This window comes from Homo sapiens, chromosome 1 (assembly GCF_000001405.40).
Source record: "Homo sapiens chromosome 1, GRCh38.p14 Primary Assembly".
Classification (NCBI taxonomy): domain Eukaryota; kingdom Metazoa; phylum Chordata; class Mammalia; order Primates; family Hominidae; genus Homo; species Homo sapiens.
The window spans coordinates 84084055-84106865 of NC_000001.11; the positions used below are offsets into that span (position 1 = coordinate 84084055).

Consider the following 22811-nt stretch of genomic DNA (forward strand, 5'->3'; position numbering starts at 1 on the left):
GTTCAGCTGGGGAACCAAGGGAAAGAATGGTCATTTCCACTGGGATGGGGAGGAAGAGGTTCAAAAAGGACTTCAAAGAGGAGTTGAACCATGACTTGAGCATTGAAAATGATAAATGTTCATCAGATGGATTATAGGAGGAAGGGTGTTCTGAGTAGACCGAGCATTGATAAGTGAAGATGCAGAGGAGTGAAACCATGTAACATATTCAGGATAAGGAAGTAAGTTGCCCATTATGATTAAATGATGGAATGTGGGGTTGGTGATAGGAAGAGGGGACATTGTATAATGATAGATGAAACTGAAGAAATGGACAGAGGGCCACATAATGGAGAGAGTTTGAATTTTATCTTTTAGACACTAGGGAGCCATCGTGCACTTGGAAATAAGAGAGAAACATGATACAATTTGGGTTTAAAAGAGGTTACTTTGGTGGTGATGTGAAGATAAATCATTATGGAGCAAGTGGAATAGAGGCAAGATCAATTATAAGACTCCTATGATAATTTGGGTGAGGGATTTTGAGGGTCTGAACCAAGGTGGTAGAGGTTGGGATGGAGAAAAGGATCTGAAATGGGAGAAATTTGAAAAATTGAGCAGAATGTATTGTACTGATTGCATGTGGGAAATGAGGAAAAGGAGGATTGGGGATGACACGTTAAGTTTAAGCTTCAATGCCATGGTAGATGGGTTGTAACGCCAGTAATAGAGTCAGGAAATGAATACAGAGGGCAGGAGTACATTGGGGGTTGGGGTGGGGACTTACTGAACTCGGGATACCCGTGGCATTTCTGATAAATGATAGCTGATTGGTTATTGTATGTGTGGATTGTCTTTTATCTCCCAGCCATGGGGGAAAATGCCCTTGGATGGTCAAGGGACCTTTTCTACATTTTATCCTCATTTTACTCTTTTCAAAGACAACTGTTTAGAAACTATGGAAACTATAACATCTGGCATAACTTACATAAGTTAAGAATTCTATATACTAAAAGTTTAGCCTTTTTGTTTTGAAAAGAGGAAAGCCAAAGTACTGATGAGAACAATGTAACTTTTAAGGAAACAAAGTAATTTAAAATCATAAAATATTACTTTTATAATTTAAGTGTGCATCCTCTAAGCTATTCGGTTTTGTAGTTATACAGGATAGTGGAAAGAACATGTAAAATATAGCACCAACATCTATTATGTACTGAGTAAATGTCAGTTTTATTCCCCTGGAGTCCTTTAACATAGATGTTTAAAAGTTCAGATGTAATTTAGTAGTAAAATCATAAACTTGAGAGTAAGAAAAATCTAAATTGTCTTTTTTCTAATACATTCTAATATCTCACTTTGGACAAATGTTTTAAAATCTCCAAGTGACGGTATAAAATCAAGAGGGATGGATTGGATAATGACACTGTGATCTCTTCTTCCAGCTTTATAATCCAATGCTTCTATTATATTTATTAAAAGAAAAAATACACAGGAAGCAGCAAGATGAGGGAATAAATCATAAAAAGTGCTCACAAAATGTGTGGGCAGAGAAGTGGCAAATGATCCTCAATTGAGCAAATAAATATATGGTAATGTATTTAGGGAAAACTTTTGATCTACATTTAAGGAATGATAGTAAAGGACAGGAGTGCCCTTGTCAGGCAGGGAGGGCTGGGCTGTGCATCCCTCTGCTTGCGCTGCAGGGAAATGTCTCAGTGACTTTTCCTGAGGAGGTTCCTGGCCTCAGTCGTCTCCAGGAAGCCCTCTCAGGATCGGTGGCCACCTCTCACTTCTGGAGCCCTGCAGACCCCACAGTGCAGTCCTGGTGGCCTGGCTGTAACACCCAACTCAGCCCAGACCATATACACCACCAGCATCTCCTCAATGACCATTAATATCCAGGATGGACCTGACTTTCAAGACCAACAGTGAGACGCCAGTGCTTGTGGATTTCCACGCACAGTGGTGTGGACCCTGCAAGATCCTGGGGCTGAGGTTAGAGAAGATGGTGGTCAAGCAGCATAGGAAAGTGCTGATGGCCAAGGTGTATATTGATGACCACACAGACCTCGCCATTGAGTATGAGGTGTTGGTGGTGCCCACTGTGCTGGCCATGAAGAATGGGGATGTGGTGGACAAGTTTGTGGGCATCAAAGATGAGGATCAGCTGGAGGCCTTCCTGAAGAAGCTGATTGGCTGACAAGCAAGGACAAGTCCTGGTTCCCTTGCCCCCATGGGACCCCAGTAGAACTTGGCCCTTCCTGCTGCCTCCCTCCTGTCTGGCCCCTGGGGCCCAGGCTCCAGCCATGAGTGCTTCTGAGCTGGCGGACTGCCCAGGGGCCATCAGAAGATGGTGCTGCTGCTGATCCGGGGACTGCCTTCTTCCCTCCCACATGCCTTTCGTCCCCTCCCTCTAGGGCCTGTGGCAGTTCTCTCAAGATGCATAGAGAGAGCCCAGGCCAGCCCACAGCACTCCTGGTCAGGCAGCCACACCTTGGTCCTCATCTCTGGTCCCTTCCGATCTGAAGCCTCGTGCCTGGCTCTTCTGCCACCTGCATTTCTCTTTCTTGCTGCTGTTTTGTAAAAAGAAAAAGAAAAAAGAAGCCCAAACTAGTGAGAATAATTTATAACTCTCTCGGTTTTTGTAGGTCTGTAATAAAGAACTTAGTCATCCCACCTCCTACTGTGAAGAGCAGACCCTGGGTCCCACACTCAAATCCCCTGTAGTTGCCCATCCTCACCCCTCAGGGAGCCCCCTCCCAGCTAGCCTCCCGGGCAGGGGGCACAGAAAATGAGTGGTGGGCTGGGGAGCCCTGGAGAGCCTTGACTCTGTAAGGCTCGAGGCACCTCCTTTGCCCCTTAACTGGCCTGTTGGTCCTCTGAGCAGGGGGCTTAACTGTGAACAAATCAGACAATAAAGCAAGGGTCTGCACCTAAAAAGACAAATTTATGAATCACTGTACTGATCTTTGAAGATATTTTCATGTTCTACTACAAGTAAAGGAGCCATCAAAATGTTCGCCATCAGGGCAGAGTCTTGGAAATAAAACATGAAACATTCTATTCTTATGTGAAACCATTAATGTGCTATGTGTAGTTGTGGTGTTTTGTGTATAGCAGAACCAGAGAAAGTTTAGATCAGGGCAGCTAACAGGAGTAAGAGCATGGGAAGTCTATTCTGTGTGAATAAACTGTATATATACATATTTCATTTAATCTAGAAAAATTAAAGTTACATGATTAAAGTGTATAAAATCAAGTGGCATAGACAGAAAATCTGGGATTGCTCACCTAAACTTGAAACACTAGAACTCATGGACTATTCTTCCAAACTTATAAAAGCTAGCTGTAGAACAAGTAAAATGAATTATCGTAAAACCTTGATATAGACTGGGCTTAGACAATAAATGTATTTAACTGATTAGTCATTTATGTTTAAAGGTGAAACATGTGTTTACAAATTCAGGTAGTATTTTTAGCAATTTCAAAAGCTAGATAATGCTTTTTTACTCTTTAAAATAATTTTTTATTTTTATTTATTTATTTTGAAACAGAGTTTTACTGTGTTGCCCAGGCTGGACTCAAACTCCTGGGCTCAGGCAGTCCTGCGTAGCTGGGACTGCAGGTGTGTACCATCGAGGCTTGTTTTTTTACTCTTGATAGGTTTTATAATCTCTCTAGCCCCCAGCACTTTCCAAAAGAATCATCAGTATTTATAAGATAAGTCTTCTTCTTGCTAATACTAAGGTTTACTACTATTATGCAAATAAATTGTTTCCCCGATATGGTGGTATAGCTTAAATTGCTTTTAGTGGATTTCTTTATTTTAATTGGCTATAATTAATTTATTCATTTAGTTCATTTTTATTCCCTAGCCAGTGAAATAGGGAGTAAAGAGTTGTCTTCATGTAGCTTATAGTCTGGTAAAAGATTTAGACAAGTAAAAGCACAATTATGAGAATGTTGTAGGAAGTGGATTATAGGACGTGTTTTTTTGTAATGTGAATTAGATTCAGTAATGCTATGTATCTATGCAGAAAATTTTCCGAATCAAATTCGGGATTCTTATAAGTTAAATTGATACACTAGCATAATTGGTATTAGTTCTGCCTTCGAAAATCCAATGTAGATGCCATATTTTTTATCTGGCCTGATGTAACAAGGTATAAAGTCCCAGGCTCTATGGCCATAGTTTAATGTTATATTCACTGTTGTCTTCTATTCATATGTTAACTTTTCAGGGACATCTGAAACTTGTTTTGTTGTAAGATAACTGTGGAATCTAAACCTTTAGGTCTCTGACAAGCCTGTTTTCTCGATCTGGACTTTGTCCTTAGAAAATTAAAGAGACTATTCTTGTGATCATATTAGTTTAGAGTCCTGTTTAGTAAAATGAATATTCCATTTCTATACTGTATTCTTCTTAAGTAGATGACCATATAGCATCAGCAGGCCATTGTTATATGTGAGCCACAAACTTGAGAGAACATGTTGGTATAGATATTACTTCTTTTACAGGGGCTAGCTCTACTGGTAACTTAGCTCTTTCAATCTTAGCTCAGCTCCCTCTGAGTAGGAGCCATGACAGGTTAAACTGTGGAAGAATATGAGCCTCACTTTAGGCTGTAGTCTTTAGGTCATGAATAAGCCATAGTTCAATTCATAGAATGACAGGCAAAACATTCACTTATTTGTCTTTCATTCATTCTTAATCAGTACTTATTGAGCGCCTACTTTAAACCAGGCACTATGCTAGTCTGTAGATGCAAATAAAAATAAGACTTGGTTCCTGTCCTTAAATTGGGAGACAGATACAGATATTTATAGTAAGGCATACAATGATACATAGGTGCCTGAGATTAATACTAGGGTGAAAATGTAGCATAGGAGTTTATAGAGGAGTAGTATAGAATTTCTGAGATCATCTTGGGAAATAGACTGAAACTGACTGAAATGGAAACTTCCTTTGAGTCCATTTTGGAAATATTTACATCTATAATTGTAGCACTTGTACTACATTGCTTTTTCAACTCTTATACCCACTACAGTGTGATCTGGCAAAGCAGTGTCTATGTTGTTTAGTGTTTTAATCTCTGGAATGTGGCACAGTTCTTGGCTCATGTCATGGTGGAAGCTAAAATCATGGATAGTTAAATGGATCAAAAATTCAAACCTCCTGTAGAAGCGTACATCCTCCTCCCTTTCCTCCATTGGCAGGAACTTTGTCAGTAATGTATTGACTATTTGGGGATAATAGTTGATTAATGTGATAAGAGGGTACCTCTTTCCCCCCTTTTTATGGTATATAGTAACTTCTTTGACATTTACATATCAAAATTATATCACAGTTGGTATGGGGAGATTGGTCTCAGGCAGGTAGGAAGAAGACACTGGACTAGGAAAAACTAGAGTATTATGCTCCCAACCTTTTGAAAAATTTGTTATTCAAGGCATGTATCATTCAACTGTGCCACTGTGTTTCTCATCCTTGTTGCTGTCATTTACCAGTCTCTTGCTTACTTCTTATTCATCAAATATTTTGGCATCTGGCCCACAATGTTTCTCTATACTCTAAGCTCTGCATTCATCCTGGATGGTTTCAAATTCTATGTTAATGACTCATCTATCATCACTGCACCTCTGTTCTTTGACCATGTTATCTCCTATTCCCCTTTTGTTCATTCAGATGTCTAGTCTTGCCAAAGACCTTGTAATATTCATTAACTGCTCAAGAATCACCAATGTGTGTGATTCTTTGATCACAATTTCCTCTCCTTTTTGCTTGCTTTTTAAATATTCCCATTATGATCATTCTTCATCAGAACCTCTCATCCATTTATCCATCAGTCCTCTCACTTTCATTTTTTCTTCTTAACCATTCTAGATTACTTGGTCCCAAAATTCCTTTGCACATCTGCCTCTTTATCAAATCTCTCTAACAAAAATGTAACTCATGATAAACTCAGCTATGTGCTTTCTCAGTGCTTTCAGTCAAGAGCTAAGCACTGCTAGAGAAAGCTGCACAGAAGAACACTAGAAATTTACTATCATCAACCTCAAATGAGCTGTCAACATGACTTTACAGTTTTACCACATTTCTCTGATCAACTCTGTCTCTCATTCTTCACAAGTTCTATTTCATTTCTCTCTCTTTATACCTCTGACTTCTCCATTATCTCTCTCATTCTAAGTCATGATATTATGTCATATTTTACAAGGAAAATAAAAGCTATCAGACAGGAACCCCTTTAACTTCTTCCTATTAAATGTTCACACCTACTGTATTTTAACTTGACCATCTTATTCTGTTATAATAGAGGAGTTGTCTGTTATATTTATCTATTGTTCCATCATGCAGGACTCCTAAATTTAGCAGCTTAAAGAGTGACAACATTTATTTTACTTATGAAAGTAAGTAATTTGGGCAGAGCTCAGCTATGCACTCTATATGACATCAGCTATCTTAGCTCTGCTAATAAATCACTGCTATGGTTTATGGGGACTAGAAACACATGAAGCCTTGCTCATTTACATGTTTCCCTGTTGATGCTGGCTGTACAGGTAATTTGAACCTTACCTGGGACTGTCAGCTGAAGCACCTACACATGACCTCTACATGTGGCTTGGGCCCCATATCATGTGGCTAAGTTCCAAGAAGGAGGGAGAGAGCCAGGTATAAGCTGTATCACCTTTTATGACCTAGCCTCCAAAGTCAAGCAGTGTCACTTCAGCTGCATTCTGTTTGTTAAGTGAGTCACTTAAATGAGTCTGTATCAAGGGAAGTTGAATTAGATTCTGCACTTTGATGGAAGGAGTTAGAAAAATTTGGGGACATGTAGAAATCACATTGTACATCTTTCTCTGCAAGCCCAATCACTCCACTATTACTTTGGATCCCAACCCCTCCTGCTTTCCCAGGAGTCTTTGTATTCTTATCTTTTATATGTATAATAATATGTCTTCTCATTTATTTAAAAAACGTGTACCCCTTTTCCCTTCACTTTCAGTTTTCTCTTTGACCCTACTTTCTCTTTCCCTTTCTCATCGCTCACCTACTAAAGTGAACTGGCCTGTGATTTACAGTATGTGTGATCAAATCAGTTGACTTTGGTGCCCAGGCAGGTAATTTTAATGTGTCTTGGGTAAAACCTGAGACGAGAAGAAAGAAGAAAGAGAAAAATGTTCTTTTTCTGCTCTTGCTGTATTATAGTTACTTACAATCAGGTTACAGAGAACTTAATCAGCTTTTAGAATATAACATGTTTGAATGTTGTGGTCTGCATATTAATATTTAAGTATTAACTTGAAGTTATATGAAGTATGTAACAACATAAAAAATGTCAAACTGGGTTACATGCACAACCTGGTTTAATATATAAGAACCTAATTTCTAAATACCTTTAGAATCTTTGACCTAACAATTTCTTGGTTCTTTATGATTAGATTTAACTTTCTTGTTTTTTTGGTTTTTGTTGTTGTTGTTGTTTTGAGACAGGGTCTTGCTGTGTTGCCCAGGCTGGAGTGCAGTGGTGTGATCATGAGTCCCTGCAACTGCTGCCTCCTGATCTCAGGTGATCCCTCCCGCCTTAGCCTCCTGAGTAGCTGGGACTACAGGTGTGTGCCGCCCTGCCTGGCTAATTTTCGTATTTTTGGTAGAGATGGGGTTTTGCCATGTTGCCCGGCCTGGTCTTGAACTCCTGGGTTCAAGCGATCCACCCACCTCAGCCTTCCAAAGTGCTGGGATTACAGGCGTAAGCCACCACAACCTTCTTGTTCTATTACTCACACAAGTTTAGCATGAGAAATAAACACGTTAATGACTTCTTATCTTTAATCTTTATTGTACTCAGGGGCATCAGTGACCCAAAAATCTTCAAATGTTTTTTCGCAGTGATATCTGTAACAATAACAGTGGGAGCCATAGTGGAGGTAGAGTGGGCAGAAGGAAACTTTTTTGGTTTTTGTTATGATTGGTTTTTGTCGTAATCTACTTTATAATATTCTGTGTAGTAGAATTGAGAAACTATGTTACAGTAGTACTATTTTCAAGTAAAAATTTAATTGAAGTATACCATACATTTCAAAAGTATTCAAATCCTAATTTATAGGCTAATGAATTTGATAAAGTGAACACCCATGTGAATTTTCACCCATACCAAGAAATAGAATATTACTGAAACCCCAGAAACTTCCCTCCTGCCTGTACCCAATCATTGCTAGATTTAAAATGTGGAATACTGCATCATGTTTTCCTTTGTGACTGCCTTCTTTCACTTATGTATTTGTGACACTTATCCATGTTTTTGTCATAGCAGTGATTTATTAATTTTCACAGATATATATCATTGTATAAGTATAGCAAAACATATTTTTTCTATGGTTGATGTAAATTTGGGTTGTTTCCAGTTTGGAGCTCTTATAAATAATGCTTTGAACACACTTGTACATGATTTTTGGTAAATATATGTATGTTTTGGTGAATATGTATTTGATGAATATGTGTTATGTATACACTCATACATACATGCATATATACATGCATATGTGTCTTTGTGTGTGCGTGAGAGAGAATGATGTTGAATTAATTGCTGGATTTCTGGGTCACAGATCATGTGGTTCTGGTAAATACCACCAAATAAATTTTCAGATTGGTTGAACCTGTTTCTAACCAGCAGTGCTTAGGGTTTTAGTCGCTCCACATCCTTCCCAAACTTGATGTTTTTCATATTTCTAATTATACCTATTCTGGTAAACATTTCCTGGTTATAATTTGTACATCCCTTATGACTGATAGTGTTGATCACTTTTTCATGTTGGTATTGGTCATTTGGATATCCTCTTTTTATAAAATGTTTTTTTTTTTTTCAGGTATTTCCCCATCCCTTTTTTTGTGGTATTCTGTTGTATTTTTCAAAAAAATTGATTTGTAGAGTTATTTAACATGGGTACAGGATTTTCCCCCCAGACGTATGTACTACAAATGTCTTCTTCCGTTTCATAGCTTGCCTTTTCACTTTCTTAACGATGTCTCCTTCATACTGTTTAATAATTTTCAAACGTACAAATAATTTACAAATCATTTCCTTTATGATTTGTGTTTTGTTTGGCCTTCCTCGGTCTTCTTTAAGAAGTTCTCACTACCCTAGGGTCATAGATATTTTCCTATGTTAGGTTTAGAAGCTTTCTTTTGCCTTTCATATTTAGAACTACAGTCTGTCTGGAATCAAGTGTGTGCATCTCTCTCTCTCTCTCTCTCTCTGTGTATGCGCTTCTGTGTGTGTGTGGTGAGGTAGGAGTCATTTGTTAATATCAGTATTTATTTGACACATCACCATTTAAAAGGAAAAAGAAATTGTCCCTTCCCCAAAGCACTGTAATGACATCTTTGTTATCAAAGGCTGAATATATCTGGTTTCCTTCTTTTCTGTTCCATTGGTTTTGTCTATTTTAGTGTCAGTACAAAACTGCATGAATTCATATAACTTTATAATAGAAGTCATCATAATCAGTAGTATAAATCCTAAAACTTCATATTTTACAAAAATTTTGAATATTCTTTATTTTTAAATCAGCTTGTCAATTTTCACATACATAATTATATACACGAACCTTATAGGAATCTTGAGATTGCATTGAATATATAGTAGTTTGAGAAGAATTTTCATCTTTATGATATTGAATTTTTAAGTCCATTTATTTAGATCTACTTTAACTTCTTTTAGTAATCTTTGTAATATTCTGTAACTTCTTTTAGTAGTGCTTTGTAATATGCTGTTTAAATTTTAAATATAATTTTAAAAATTACATTTATTCTTAGTTTCACATGCTTTTTTGTTACTATAAAGGGTATCAGTGTCAAAGTTTTATCTTCTAATTTTTCATTGTGAGTATATAAGCATAGGGTTAGAAATTTTATGCTGACCTATCTAGTGATCTTGCTAATTTTATTAACTGTAAGTTATTTATAGATACATTTAGATTTTACATATACACAAATCACTTTTTTGCTTAATTTTGACAGTGTAAGTTTTTTCCTTTTAGTCCTTATACATTTTTTTTGCCTTATTGCACTGATTAGGACTTGCAATACAGTAGTACATAGAAATCATGATAACAGCCACACTTGTCATATTCCTGGTGTCACTGGAAAGCTTTCAATATTTTGGAACCAGGCAGAAAATTTTTAAGATATCCTGTTATCTGTTTAAGGAAGGTTTCTTCTATTCCTGGTTTGCTAATTATTTTTCCTTTGAGAATGGGTATTTAATTTTATCAAATGTTATTTCTGCGTCTGTGAGTTTTGAATCTTAAATTAATATTGCATACCTGGAATAAACCCATTCTGGTTGCAATATATTGTCCATTTCATATCCTTTTTTAATGTAATAGTGAATTTGGTTTGCTAAAATGTCTCAGTGTGTTTTCTTTTTATCATTATTCCATTGTTTTTTCTTTGACTAATGGCTACATTGGTTAGTTTTCAAATATTTGGGGGTTTTTAGCTTAGTTTCACTGTGTTCAGAGAACATGTTTGGAATGATTTCAGTTCTTTGAAGTTTGTTGATACTTGCCTTATGGGTCACCTTTATAGCCATATACAGTAGTCATTTGTAAATGTTCCAATGACTTTTGAAGAGACTGTCTATTCTGCTTTCGTTGCCTACATGTACTCTCTCTCACACACACATACACATACACACACTAAGACAATTAATTCACACTGAATTCAAGGTATTCTGTATCATGTTATATTTCTTTAGAGAGGACTTATTTTACTTCTGGTGTGATTCAATATTATTTTTACTAATTGCAGTCATGTGGTATGTAACAACATTTCAGTCAAAAACATACTGAATATACAATCATGGTTCCAAAAATTATACTACTTCATTTTTAATGTACTTTTTATATGTTTAGATACACAAATACCATTGTATTACAACTGCCTACAGAATTCAGTTAGTAACATGCAGTATAGGATTGTAGCCTAGGAGCAATAGGCTATCCATATAGCTTAGATATGTAGTAAGCTATACGATCTAGGTTTATGTAAGTGCACTCTATGATGTTCGTACAGTGACGAGATTGCCTAATGACACATTTCTCAGAATGTATCCCTGGCATTAAGTGACACATGACTGTATTTAACACTCCATCATGCATTATTATTATTGTTCAGGGCCCTCAATATTTATATTTATCCCATATTTGCTGTTTTTTTTTTTTTTGCGCTTATTCCTTCATGCATTCTCTGGTCTAAGTTACTTGTGCCATAAATAAGTCTTGTGTAAAGGTGTCCTAGTGATGAATTATGTCAGTTTTTATTTATCTGGATTTGTGTATTTTTTACCTTCACTTTTTCAGGATATATTTTATAAGTATGGAATTTTAGGTTGAGAATTACTTTCTTTGAACACTTTGAAGATGTTTCATCATGTTTTGTTTTCCATTGTTTTGTTGAGAAATCAGCTGTTAGTCTCAGTGTTGCTTTATGAAGGTAGTATATCTTTTTTTTTCTTTGGTTGCTTTGAGATTTTCTCTTTGCCTTTGGTTTTCAGCAGTTTCACAATATGCCTAGGTGATTTTATTCCCCCTACTTTCTGTTTGCAACTTTTTAGAATCATGGCTCAAAATGTTTCATTTATTTAAGACAGTTTTCAATAAGCATATCTTAATATGTTGCCTCTATCCCGTCTTTTCTTTCCTATTCTTCTGAGATACCAATTACATGTATATGTAAAATTTCTGATATATAATTTCAATTATTATATTTTTAATCTCTAGATTTTCCAGTTGATTTTTGAGTTTCTACTTGTAAATTTTTCTACTCATTTATATTTTTGTACAAATTAATCATAGCTATATTAAAGTTCATGTCTGAATTTACAATTTTTATTACCAGTGTGTTTTTCTATGGTATGTTTGTTCTCTTATTTTTGGTTATTTGGTCTTATCTTTTGGCATGCCTAGGAATCTTTAATTGAATGTATTTTGTATCATGTTATATTTCTTAAGAGAGGACTTATTTTGGCTGATGGTTAGAGTTGGGTCAGATTGTGTTGATCCATCAACAATTAAGATGACTTGTTGGCTGTTCTCAGTCTTTGTGAGGCTTGGTCTATTTCCTATTCTTACTCCTATCGATGGAGCCTTTCAGTGGTTTTGACTGAAGGCCTGGTGGTGTTTATCAGGGCCCTACCTCATGCTAGCCCTGAACTTCAATTTTTCTTTCCTCACTGTGAGATTACTGAAATATTTGCTTAGTTTTCTAATCTCCTAAAAAGGTGCTTCTCACTATCTGTTCTTTAGTGTCATGCCTTAGGTATCTTAAACATCTGAATGCTTCAAGAAGAAAAAGTAGTACAGAATGTTGGGATTTTTATTTCTGGTTTCTTGGCCCTAAAGTCTCTGAATTCCATTTTTTTCCCTTGTCAGCCAAGTGTAATGTTGAATATTTGAGCCTTAGCTTTTTGCATGTCCTTTCTACCAATTGAGGAAATGCCCTGAGGGCAAAAGCTGTAAAGAATCTTGATCTCTAATCATTTCCCATCTTTTCAGGACCTTGGTGTTCCTCAAAACCTGCTGACTCCTTTGCTAATACTTTCAAACAACTCTTACCCCATTTCTACCAATATTTATGTTATTTTAACAAGAGTTTTTTTTATATATCACTTTATTGAAGCAGAAATCCCTTGATAGTATTTTTTCTTTTTGTAAATCTGTGCAATGAATCATAGTATAAAGTGTGCACATTTTTAAGCTTATAGATTGAAGAGGGTTTACAAATGAATTCCTCATATAATCGTGACTAGATCAATATATGCAAATTAACAGCATTCTAGAAGGTTCCCTTGTCCCTCCAGAGTCAATAAGCATGCTTCCCTCAGATGTAACCACTATTCTTATTTCTGTCACCATATATTAGTTTCGCCTGTTTTTGAGCTTTACTTAAGTAGAATAACAATTATACTGTTTTATATCTGGGATTTTAATTTCAACATTGTTTGCAAAATTTAGTCCTGTTGCTGAAGGTAGGGTTCTTTACTTTTTGTTAATGTATAGTGTTCCATGGTGTGAATACACAATTTATTTTTTCTTTCTACATTTGATGGTAATTGGGTTGTTTTCCAGTTTGGGACTATTATGACTAGAACTTCTGTGAACATTGTTGACCATTTTTGTGCATTTTCATACACACCTATACTCATTTCTGTTAGGTATATACCTATAAATGGAATACTGTCATAAAGTATATGTATCTGTAGATACATTAGTAGATAGTATCTACATTAGTAGATACTATCAAACTGTTTTCGAAAGAGGTTATACCAATTTGCACTCACAGTAGCAGTGTAGGAGAGTTTCCATTGCCCCACATCTTCACCATCCTTGGTATTGACAGGTATTGTTTTGTTTTAGCCATTTTGGTGTGTGTATTAATAAGGGTTCTCCAGAGAAACAGAACCAATAGGAGGGGTGTGTGTGGGGAGAAAGATTATTTCTATAATAAATCTCCTCTTACATACATATATACTTATTATGGAAATTGACTCATGATTATGGAGGCTGATAAGTCATATAATCAAGTTGGGGAACCAGGAAACCTGGTGCTGTAACTTAGTCTAAGTCCAAAGACCTGAGGAAAGGGGAGAGAAAATGGTTTAAGTCCTGGGCTGAGTCTGAAGACCAAAGAACCAGGAGCACTGACGTCCAATAGCAGGAGAAGGTAGATATTCCAGTCTTAAAAGAAAAGAAAAAACAAAAACAAAAACAAAACGTGCGAATTTGCCCTTTCTCCACCTTTTTGTTATATTCAGGCCCTCAATACATTGGATAATGCTCATCCACATTATTAAGGTCGGTCTTCTTTATTCAGCCTGCTGATTCAAATGCTAATCTCTTACAGAAACATTCTCACAAACACGCCCAGAAATAATGTTTACCAGCTATCTGGGCATCCCTTAGTCTAGTCAAGTTGACACATAAAATTAACCACCATAGTGGGTGTATATCAGGATATAATTATGCTTTTAATTTTTGTTTCCCTGATGATTAATCATGTTGAACACGTTTTTATATGCTTATTGGGTTATTCAGATATCCTTTTTTAGATGTAATGCCTATTACCTTAAATTAAATCTTTTGCCTATTTTTCTACTGGGAAAAGAAAATAGGAGTTATTATTTTGCAGAAATGTTATACGTACGCATAGTTTATGAATATAAATAAAAATATTTTCTCCAAGTCTATGGGTTGCATTTTATTCTCTTAGTTATATATTTTGATGAACACAGCTTTTAATCTCAATATACTGAGAGTACTAACTTTTTACATAGCCCATTTTGTTTCCCTTTTAACAAATCTTTGCCTACTCCAAGTTCATGAAGATAGTTTCTTTTGTTCTTCTAAAAGACCTATTATCTTTGTCACATTTAGGTCTGCTTGCATGTCTCAGAGCAGTAGAAAGCAATATTATCAGTTGTGAGGAAGAATTATGGGAAAAGTGTTGGAAGTTTGGTAAAGAGGAGAAGGTATAAAAGTCATCTAGAAGAGTGGGAGATTGGATGGACTAGGGGAGTACAATATGATTGCCAGATAACAGTAAATATACTCTTGAGGTTTCTGGTTATGAACTTCAAATCATAAAAAGTTAAGAGTAGTTTGTTTTTCTCCAGTCTTACCCAGCTGCACAAGTGCAGGCACAGTGTAGGTATAGAGATTTCACCAGGGTTCTGGTTTTGCCAAGCAAGTATAGACAAAACGAGAGAGAGGCAAGTGGCTGAAAATGTATGCTGGAAGTGATTATAATGCTCGGCTTTGGAATTTGTGCATTTTAAGGAGGAAAAAAGATAATATTTGGGGTATCAAGGATCCTGAAAAGGATTAGAGATCCTGGTAAGGTTTAAAGATTGTTGAAGTTGAGATCTTAAAAGAGAGTGAGCTAAAAAGATAGAACATGGTTAGAGAGAAAGGGTAGAATGAAATGGGCTAAGGGTATGATCTTTGGAGTCAATGGCTAAGACAGGGTAGGGTGGGAATGTACATATTAAATGAATTTAGATATTGTATTAGAAAGGTTAGAGGATATACATATTCGATGAATGTGTATATCTTCAATTAACTACAAATAATCCAATTTTATTTGTAGTGTTAAGTATAGTAAGAAATATAAGTACAATACCTGTTTAAAAATTTTACAAAATATTTTAGCAAAGTACTTTTTAAAACTTTAATTTTTAACTTAATGTAATTTTCAGGTAAAAGGATAATATATTCAGTGCATTTTAATGGCATGAGTTTTTAATTAATGTTGTATAGTCGAAGACATAGTAGTATGTTAGTTTATATATTTTCTAGAATAACATATTTCAGTTTAAATATGTATTTATTTTTGAATTTAAAATATTCATGTTTGAATGGTTAAATGAGAATGTACCCTTATTTCTGTGGAAATATAGCTTTTATTAACAGCAAATATAAATATATCTAATTGAGAAAGTAATTGAATTGTTCCCCCCCCTTTTTTAATTAAATGAATATCCTTTGAGAATTTAGGAGCTAGCTACTTAGGGGACCAGAAGCTACTTACCTGGGCACTTAATATTATTAACCTGGTATATGGATCACATTGACATCCAGAAAGTAAAAAATATTCTCAAAGAAGCAATAATAGACATAACAGAGGATTTGTATCATAATTCACGCAGTTACTTTCAGATTTTTCTCTTTTGCAAAATAGAAATAGTTTCTAGTTGTGAGGTTTAGAAATCCTATGTAATGTATTACTCTTGGTACCGAGAAGATGCTCAATAAATAGTAGCTATTGTTTTTAAGGGAAATCCTTAAGCATGGTCTATATAGATTAGGCTCATTTTAACAAGTTATTTGAATTGTCAGTCTGTGGACAACTAGAAACAACAAATTCATCCACTGGGAGTAATTTTATATTAGATTGTAGGGAACTTTATATTTGTCCATTTTCACACTGCTGTAAAGATACGAGACTGGGTAATTAATAAAGGAAAGAGGTTTTATTGACTCACAGTTCCACATGGCCAGAGAGGCCTCAGGAAACTTACATTCATGGTAGAAGGGAAAGCAGACATCTTCTTCACAAGGTGACAGGAGAGAGTGTGAGCACATGAAGGAAGAACTGTCAAACACTTATAAAACTGTCAGATCTCGTGAGAACTCAGTCACTGTTATGAGAACAGCATGGGGAAAACCTCTCCCATGATCCAATCACTTCCCACTGGGTCCCTCCCTCAACACGTGGGGATTATGGCAATACAATTCAAGACAAGATTTGAGTGGGGACACAGCCAGACCATATCAAATATATTTATATTCATATCCTCAGGATCATCAAGAATAAAAAGATATAAAAGTGAATGGGGACATTTTAGAAAGTTATTCACCAAAACTTTAATAATTATAAAAAGTGGCTTTTATCTCAGAATAACCCTATGTAGTAAGAATACTGAGGCTTAGAGAAGATAAGATCACACATTTAATGGCAGAATTTTGAATGATGCAAACTCCATCAGTCTGATTCTAGGCCCTCTGCTCATAAGCACCATATTATACCATTTCCCTAACACAGTGAGGAAAATTTTCTTTTAAAAATTATGTACTTAAAACTCATCAAATCTGAAGGACCTTAGAAGATCTATCTACCTACCTATCAAGTTTGTAGAGTATTACATAGCTTTTTCTATGTGTCAGGCACTGTTATCAATCCTATAACAACTCATTTAATCTTTACAACTCTTTGAGGTGGGAACCATGATTGTTCTTATTTTATACAAGAGGTAACTGAGGCATAGATTAAGTAACTTGTCCAAAGCCACACAGTTAAAAAGTAGGCAAGCTAGGACTTGAACCCAAACAGTGACTCTAGAGTGTTGTTAACCGTGCCATATTGACTGCCTTTCTAAAAATTTGTGAAGTTTTTACTTCATTTAGTTTTCTCCTTATTATAATCTTTTCAATGATAAGAAACTCATTACGCTGTAAGGCTATGTGCCAGTCAGAGTTACACCAGAGAAACAGAACCAGTAGGATATATCGGAAGAGATATATTGCAAGAAATTGACTTATTGATTGTGGTGGCTGGCTAGGTAAGTCTAAAATCTATAGGGCAATCTGCAATGAAGGGCAAGCTGGACCTCTCAATCACAGGCTGAAGCTGTACTTTACAGGCTGAGTTTCTTCTTCTGGGAAGCTTCAGTTCTGCTCTTAAGGGCTTTCAACTGATTGAGTCAGATCCACCCAAATTATCTATGGTAATCTCCTTTACTTGAAGTAAACTGACTGTGGACTTTAGTCACATCTACAAAATACCTTCACAGCAACACCTAGATCAGTGTTGAATAACTAACGACTATACCCTAGCCAAGTTGACACATAAAAATGTCCTGTAGGCATATTTTTTCCTTAAGCCCTGACAGGTTTGGGGGTTGGTGGTTCATTTTCCCAAGCCAGAAATGGAACTTCCTACTTTCTTTTTAACTTACATTTATTACTCATTCTTATCACCTCCTCATCTCCCATTACCACAGCCAAAAAAGATTTCAGGTGTTTTTCAATAGAAGGCATATATAACCTTTAAAGCAAAATTATAAATACAAGAGCCTTGAAATCAAAGGCAAGAAGATGGTTGAACCAATAAACCGATGTTGAAGCTAGTTACTGTATTTGAGCATAAAATTTAGCACTACATGGTGAGGATACAGTATAAAGCCACTTTCCTAGTGCCAAATTGTAACAGGAATTTAATCTATCTAAATACAGGGAGCAGTGATTTACATAATAAATGAGATAATTATTATTTAATAAAGATTTAGAGAATTCTCTAGATTCCTGTGTTCAAGAAGGAGGGCCTCAAAGCTGCCTGCAGTTATATTTTTATGATAATTATTTATTACTATCTCATGACTTAAAAATTTTCTTAACAAGTAAAATAACTACCTTTTAAAAAATACTGTAAGACCCTTTGCTATGACCTCAGATAATTTAAAGTGATGTCTCACAGACCTTTATTTAGACTGAAAGGCTTATAAAAATTTTGTGTGTGCCTGTAATCCCAGCACTTTGGGAGGCCGAGGTGGGCAGATCACGAGGTCAGGAGTTCAAGACCAGCCTGGCCAATGTGGTGAAACCCCATCTCTACTAAAAAAAAAAAAAAATACAAAACTACAAAAATTAGCTGGGCGTGGTGTTGGGCACCTGTAGTCCCAGCTGCTTGGGAGGCTAAGGTAGGAGAATCGCTTGAATCTGGGAGGCGGAGGTTGTAGTCAACCGAGATTGCGCCACTGCACTCCAGCCTAGGCGACAGAGCGAGACTCCATCTCAAAAAAAATAAAAAATGAAAACAAAAATGCAAAAAGAGAATCTTGTGTGTGGCTCACGTTACTCTAAATTAGACAGTTGGGGTTTTTAGAAATCTTAAGGACTTGTCCCATAGCAGTCTTATGTGAGGCCCAAGGTAGAGAAAGCCCTCTCCAAAGGGAATGTGGATGTGGCTTTTTGTCTCTTGGAATATATTAGAATTTGATAATATGAGAAACCCACAGAGTTTTAAAAGAAATTGTATTAATGTTGATTGAAAGGGTCAGAGATAATTAATAAGGAAAAAAGTGTACGGGCCCTCACCTACTGTGGAAAGGAAGCAGGCTGAAAAGCTACTCACCTCTTCACATAGGCCATTTCATGTGAAAGAATGATTGAGAGAGGGCAGCCAAGAAGCCAGAGAGTACAGCTAAGAGACAAGGAGAACTACTCTCAGGACTAATCAAGGAATGAGTGACATGTGCCCAACTGGACTTTAGAATTGCTATTGATGAGGGAGTGTTTATACCTCTTGTTTTCCCTCTTTTTGAATGGGAGTATCCATTGCAATTTCTATTCCTATCTCACCATCGTGTATTGGGCAGATAACTTGTCTCTTTAGTTCACAAGTCTTTAGATTAAGAGAAACTAAGTATGAGGAGTTGCACTCAGGAAACTGGATCTGAGAGGCCTCATCTATACCTGCATTTGATTTAGATTACATCCTGGACCTTAGGATAAGGCTTCTTGGGGTCTTGGAAGGAGTAAAGTATATTTTGAAAATGGAGGAGTATTCTGTGACAAAGTGAAGATGGCTACAAATTCTTAACCACCCTTTTCATCTAGAAGCATAGCATATTTCTTCATTCCACTGAATCTGGGCTGGGTTTCTCATTGCTTTAACCAGTATAATATGGTGGATGTGATGCTAGATCCGTTACAGGGTTGAGGCTCTGTCCTCTTTTAAGCGAACTGCTATGCAAGAAGTCTGACTATTCTGAGACCAACATGCTGTTCAAAGCCCAACTAGCCACTTAGAGAGAAAGAGACAGAGAGATGGGGTGTGGGGGTGGGGGGTAGAGAAAGAAAGAGAGAGATTGGTAGCACTAGATAAGGTGAATTATTTCATGGGCCTTTTAGTCAGCCCAGCCTTCAGCTGAAGACAGATGAGAGAGTGACTCAGCAAACAGTGTGAAGTGAGCCAGCAGACCTATGACCTCATTTGGGCTGTTCCAGCTTCTCGCAGCTGTTGAGCCACCCAGCTTAGACCCCAGACATTGTGGTATAGAGATGAACAGTTCCTACTGTGTGTTGCCCAAATTCTTGACCCAGAAAATTGTGAGCAAAATATGGTGATTGTTTGAAAACTAAGTTTGTTACATAACACAGATAACTGAAACACAAGTAGAAAAATTCTATCACCTGCCCAACCTCACAGAGCCAGTAAGAACTAGTGTTCTCCCCTTCCCTTTTATTTTTAGTTGACACATAATAATTGTACATATTTATAGGATACAGAGTAATATTTTGATACATATGTAATGTGTAATGATCAAATCAGGGTAATTAGTATTTCCTTACCATAAACATTTATCATTTCTTTGTGTTAGGAACATTTAAATCCTCTCTTGTACTTGAAAATGTACAGTAAATTATTGTAAATTATAGTCACCATACAGTGCTATGGAGCACTAGACCTTACTTTTCCTATCTAGCTGTGATTTTTTATCAGTTAACCTCTCTCTAATCTGTAGTAACCCACAATTATCTAATTCTCTTCCCAACTTTTAATAACCACAATTCTCCTATCTACTTGTATGAGCTCCACTTTTAAAAGCTCCCTCATATGGGTGAGAACATATGGTATTTTTCTTTCTGTACCTGACTGATTTCACTTAACATAACATCCTCTAGGCTCATCCATGTTGCCACAAATAACAGGATTTCATTCTTTGTTATGTCTAAATAGTAGGTCATTGTTTATATACATATATATACACTTTCTTTTTCTGTTAATCTGTTGATAGATGTTTAGGTTGATTCCATATCTTGATTATTGTGAATAGTGCTGCAATAAACATGGGGTGCAGATGTCTCTTCAATATACTGATTTCCTTCCGTTTGCATTAATAGCCAGCATTGGGATTGCTGGATTATATCTTCTATTTTTAGTTTTTTGAGGAAGCTTCCATACTGTTCCATAATGGCTGTACTAATTTACATTCTCACTAAAAGTATATGAGAGTTCCCTTTCTCTGCATCCAAAAAGACTATTGTCTTTTTAACAATAGTCATTCAAACCGAGGTGAGATGGCTTTCATTTGCATCTCCCTCATGATTAGTGATGTTGAGCATTTTTTCATATACCTGTGGCCATTTGTATGTAGAACCAATGCTTTTAATCACATGTCAAACTGCCTATGTCCCAGTCCTTTCCAGAGAGCCCTCTGGAACCCTTTTTCTATTGTAAACAAATTTATTTAAACCTACAGGTTTTCCATGGAATAGAAGTTTATTCCTCAGTACCTTGCATCTACTAGTTGGGCAGTTATGGTGAGCATATCTTTTTGACTTAATTCTAGAGTAATTATATAATTGGAGATAAAGCTGGGAACCATTCTTTACTTAAAAAGTCTCAAGTGGGACTCTCCTTGGAGTGTTCTCTAAAAACAAAACAAAAAAAATCGTTTTCTTAAAGGCATTTAGTTAGCAGAGCACAGCTGACTGAAAATTTCTTAAATACAATTCAGGATAGTTTGTATAAATAACCAAAAGGTAAATAACCAATGTAGTCCTCATGAGACATTAAAATTTTTTTTCAACTGAATCTCTCACTGCACTGTTAATTGGAAGTCTTCTTTCTTGACCATTCTCTAGAACAGAATACAACTGCGGTCACTCCTCTCTTCTGGATGTTTTTTTCTGGACCATCCAATTCATTTCCACCCCCTTGTTATGGAGAGAAACTTTCCTCTTTCATGGAAAAGTCATTCTGACATCGAGGCACCACGACTTTTGACCTAGAGTAAGCATATCAAACTATTTTTCTCAACTCAATAATTTACAGAAAAATATTAAGAAGGTGAAAATTTTCCATTCATCATTACCTACATGTAAGAAAAAAAGAAAAGAAGAAAAATCTACCAGAATCCTAGCATTTACAGATAACCACTGTTAGCATTTATTTATTTATTTATTTATTTATTTATTTATTTATTTATTTATTTACTGAGACAGGGTCTCCTTCTGTCACCCAGGCTGGAGTGCAGTGGTACGATCACAGCTCACTGCAACCTCCACCTCCCGGATTCAAGTGATTCTCCTGCCTCAGCCTCTTGAGTAGCTGGGATTACAGGTGCACGCCACCACAGCCCAGCTAATTTTTGTTCTTTTTAGGAGAGATGGGATTTTGACGTATTGGTCAGGCTGATCTCGAACTCCTGACCTCAGGAGATCCACCTGCCTGGGCCTCCCAAAGTGCTGGGATTATAGGTGTAAGCCACTACACCCAGCTTGTTAGCATTTTTTGAATACTGTTGGCTTTCTATATCCACAGATTCAAACAATCAAGGATTCAACCAGCCATGAATCAAAAATGTTGAATCAACAAAACAATAATAAAAAATAAAGTAGAAATAATAATAACTATTTACATTACAGTATAATAGGTATTATAAGTAATCTAGAGATTATTTAAAGTATACAGGAAGATGTGCATAGGCTATATACAAATACTATGCCATTTGACATAAGGGACTTGAGCATTCATGTATTTTGATATCCAGAGGCGCCCTGGAACCAATCTCCCATGGATACCAAGGGGTGATTGTATATCCTGTTTAAAAGTATATGGGTGAGTTTCCTCCTAGTCAACATAGTGTTGGAAGTCCTGGCCAGAACAATCAGGCAAGAGAAAGATAAAAGGCATTCAAATAGGAAGAGGGGAAGTCACATTATCCCTGTTTGCAGATGACATGATTCTATATCTAGAAAACTCCATAGTCTGCCCAGAAGCTCCCTGATCTGATACACAACTTCAACGAAGTTTCAGGATACAAATAAATATACAAAAGTCAGTAGCATTGCTATACACTAACAGCACCCAAGCTGAGAGCCGAATCAGGAATATAATCTCATTCCCAATTCCCACAAAAAAGGTTAAAATAGCTAGGAATACAGCTAACCAAGGTCAAAGAGCTCTACAATGAAAATTACAGAACACTGCTGAAAGAAATCAGAGATGACACAGACAAGTGGAAGAGCACTCCATGCTCTTAGATAGGAAGAATCAATATGGTTAAAATGGCCATACTGCCTAAAGCAATTTACAGATTCAATGCTATTTCTATCAAACTACCAATTACATTCTTCACAGAACTAGAAAATACTATTCTACCATTCATATGAAACCAAAAAAGAGCCCAAATAGCCAAGGCAATCCTAAGCAAAAAGAACAAAGCTGGAAGAATCACATTGCCTGACTTCAAACTGTACTATAAGGC

At 36.3% G+C, this 22811-nt stretch overlaps 1 protein-coding gene and 1 pseudogene across 3 annotated transcripts in view; both read left to right on the plus strand.

Annotated features, from left to right (window-relative positions):
* The window catches only part of PRKACB (protein kinase cAMP-activated catalytic subunit beta), a 160420-nt gene that overhangs the window by 5976 nt on the left and 131633 nt on the right, over window positions 1-22811 (plus strand). The gene's annotated exons all lie outside the window — the stretch shown is intronic.
* On the plus strand, window positions 1621-2913 carry TXN2P1 (TXN2 pseudogene 1; annotated as a pseudogene).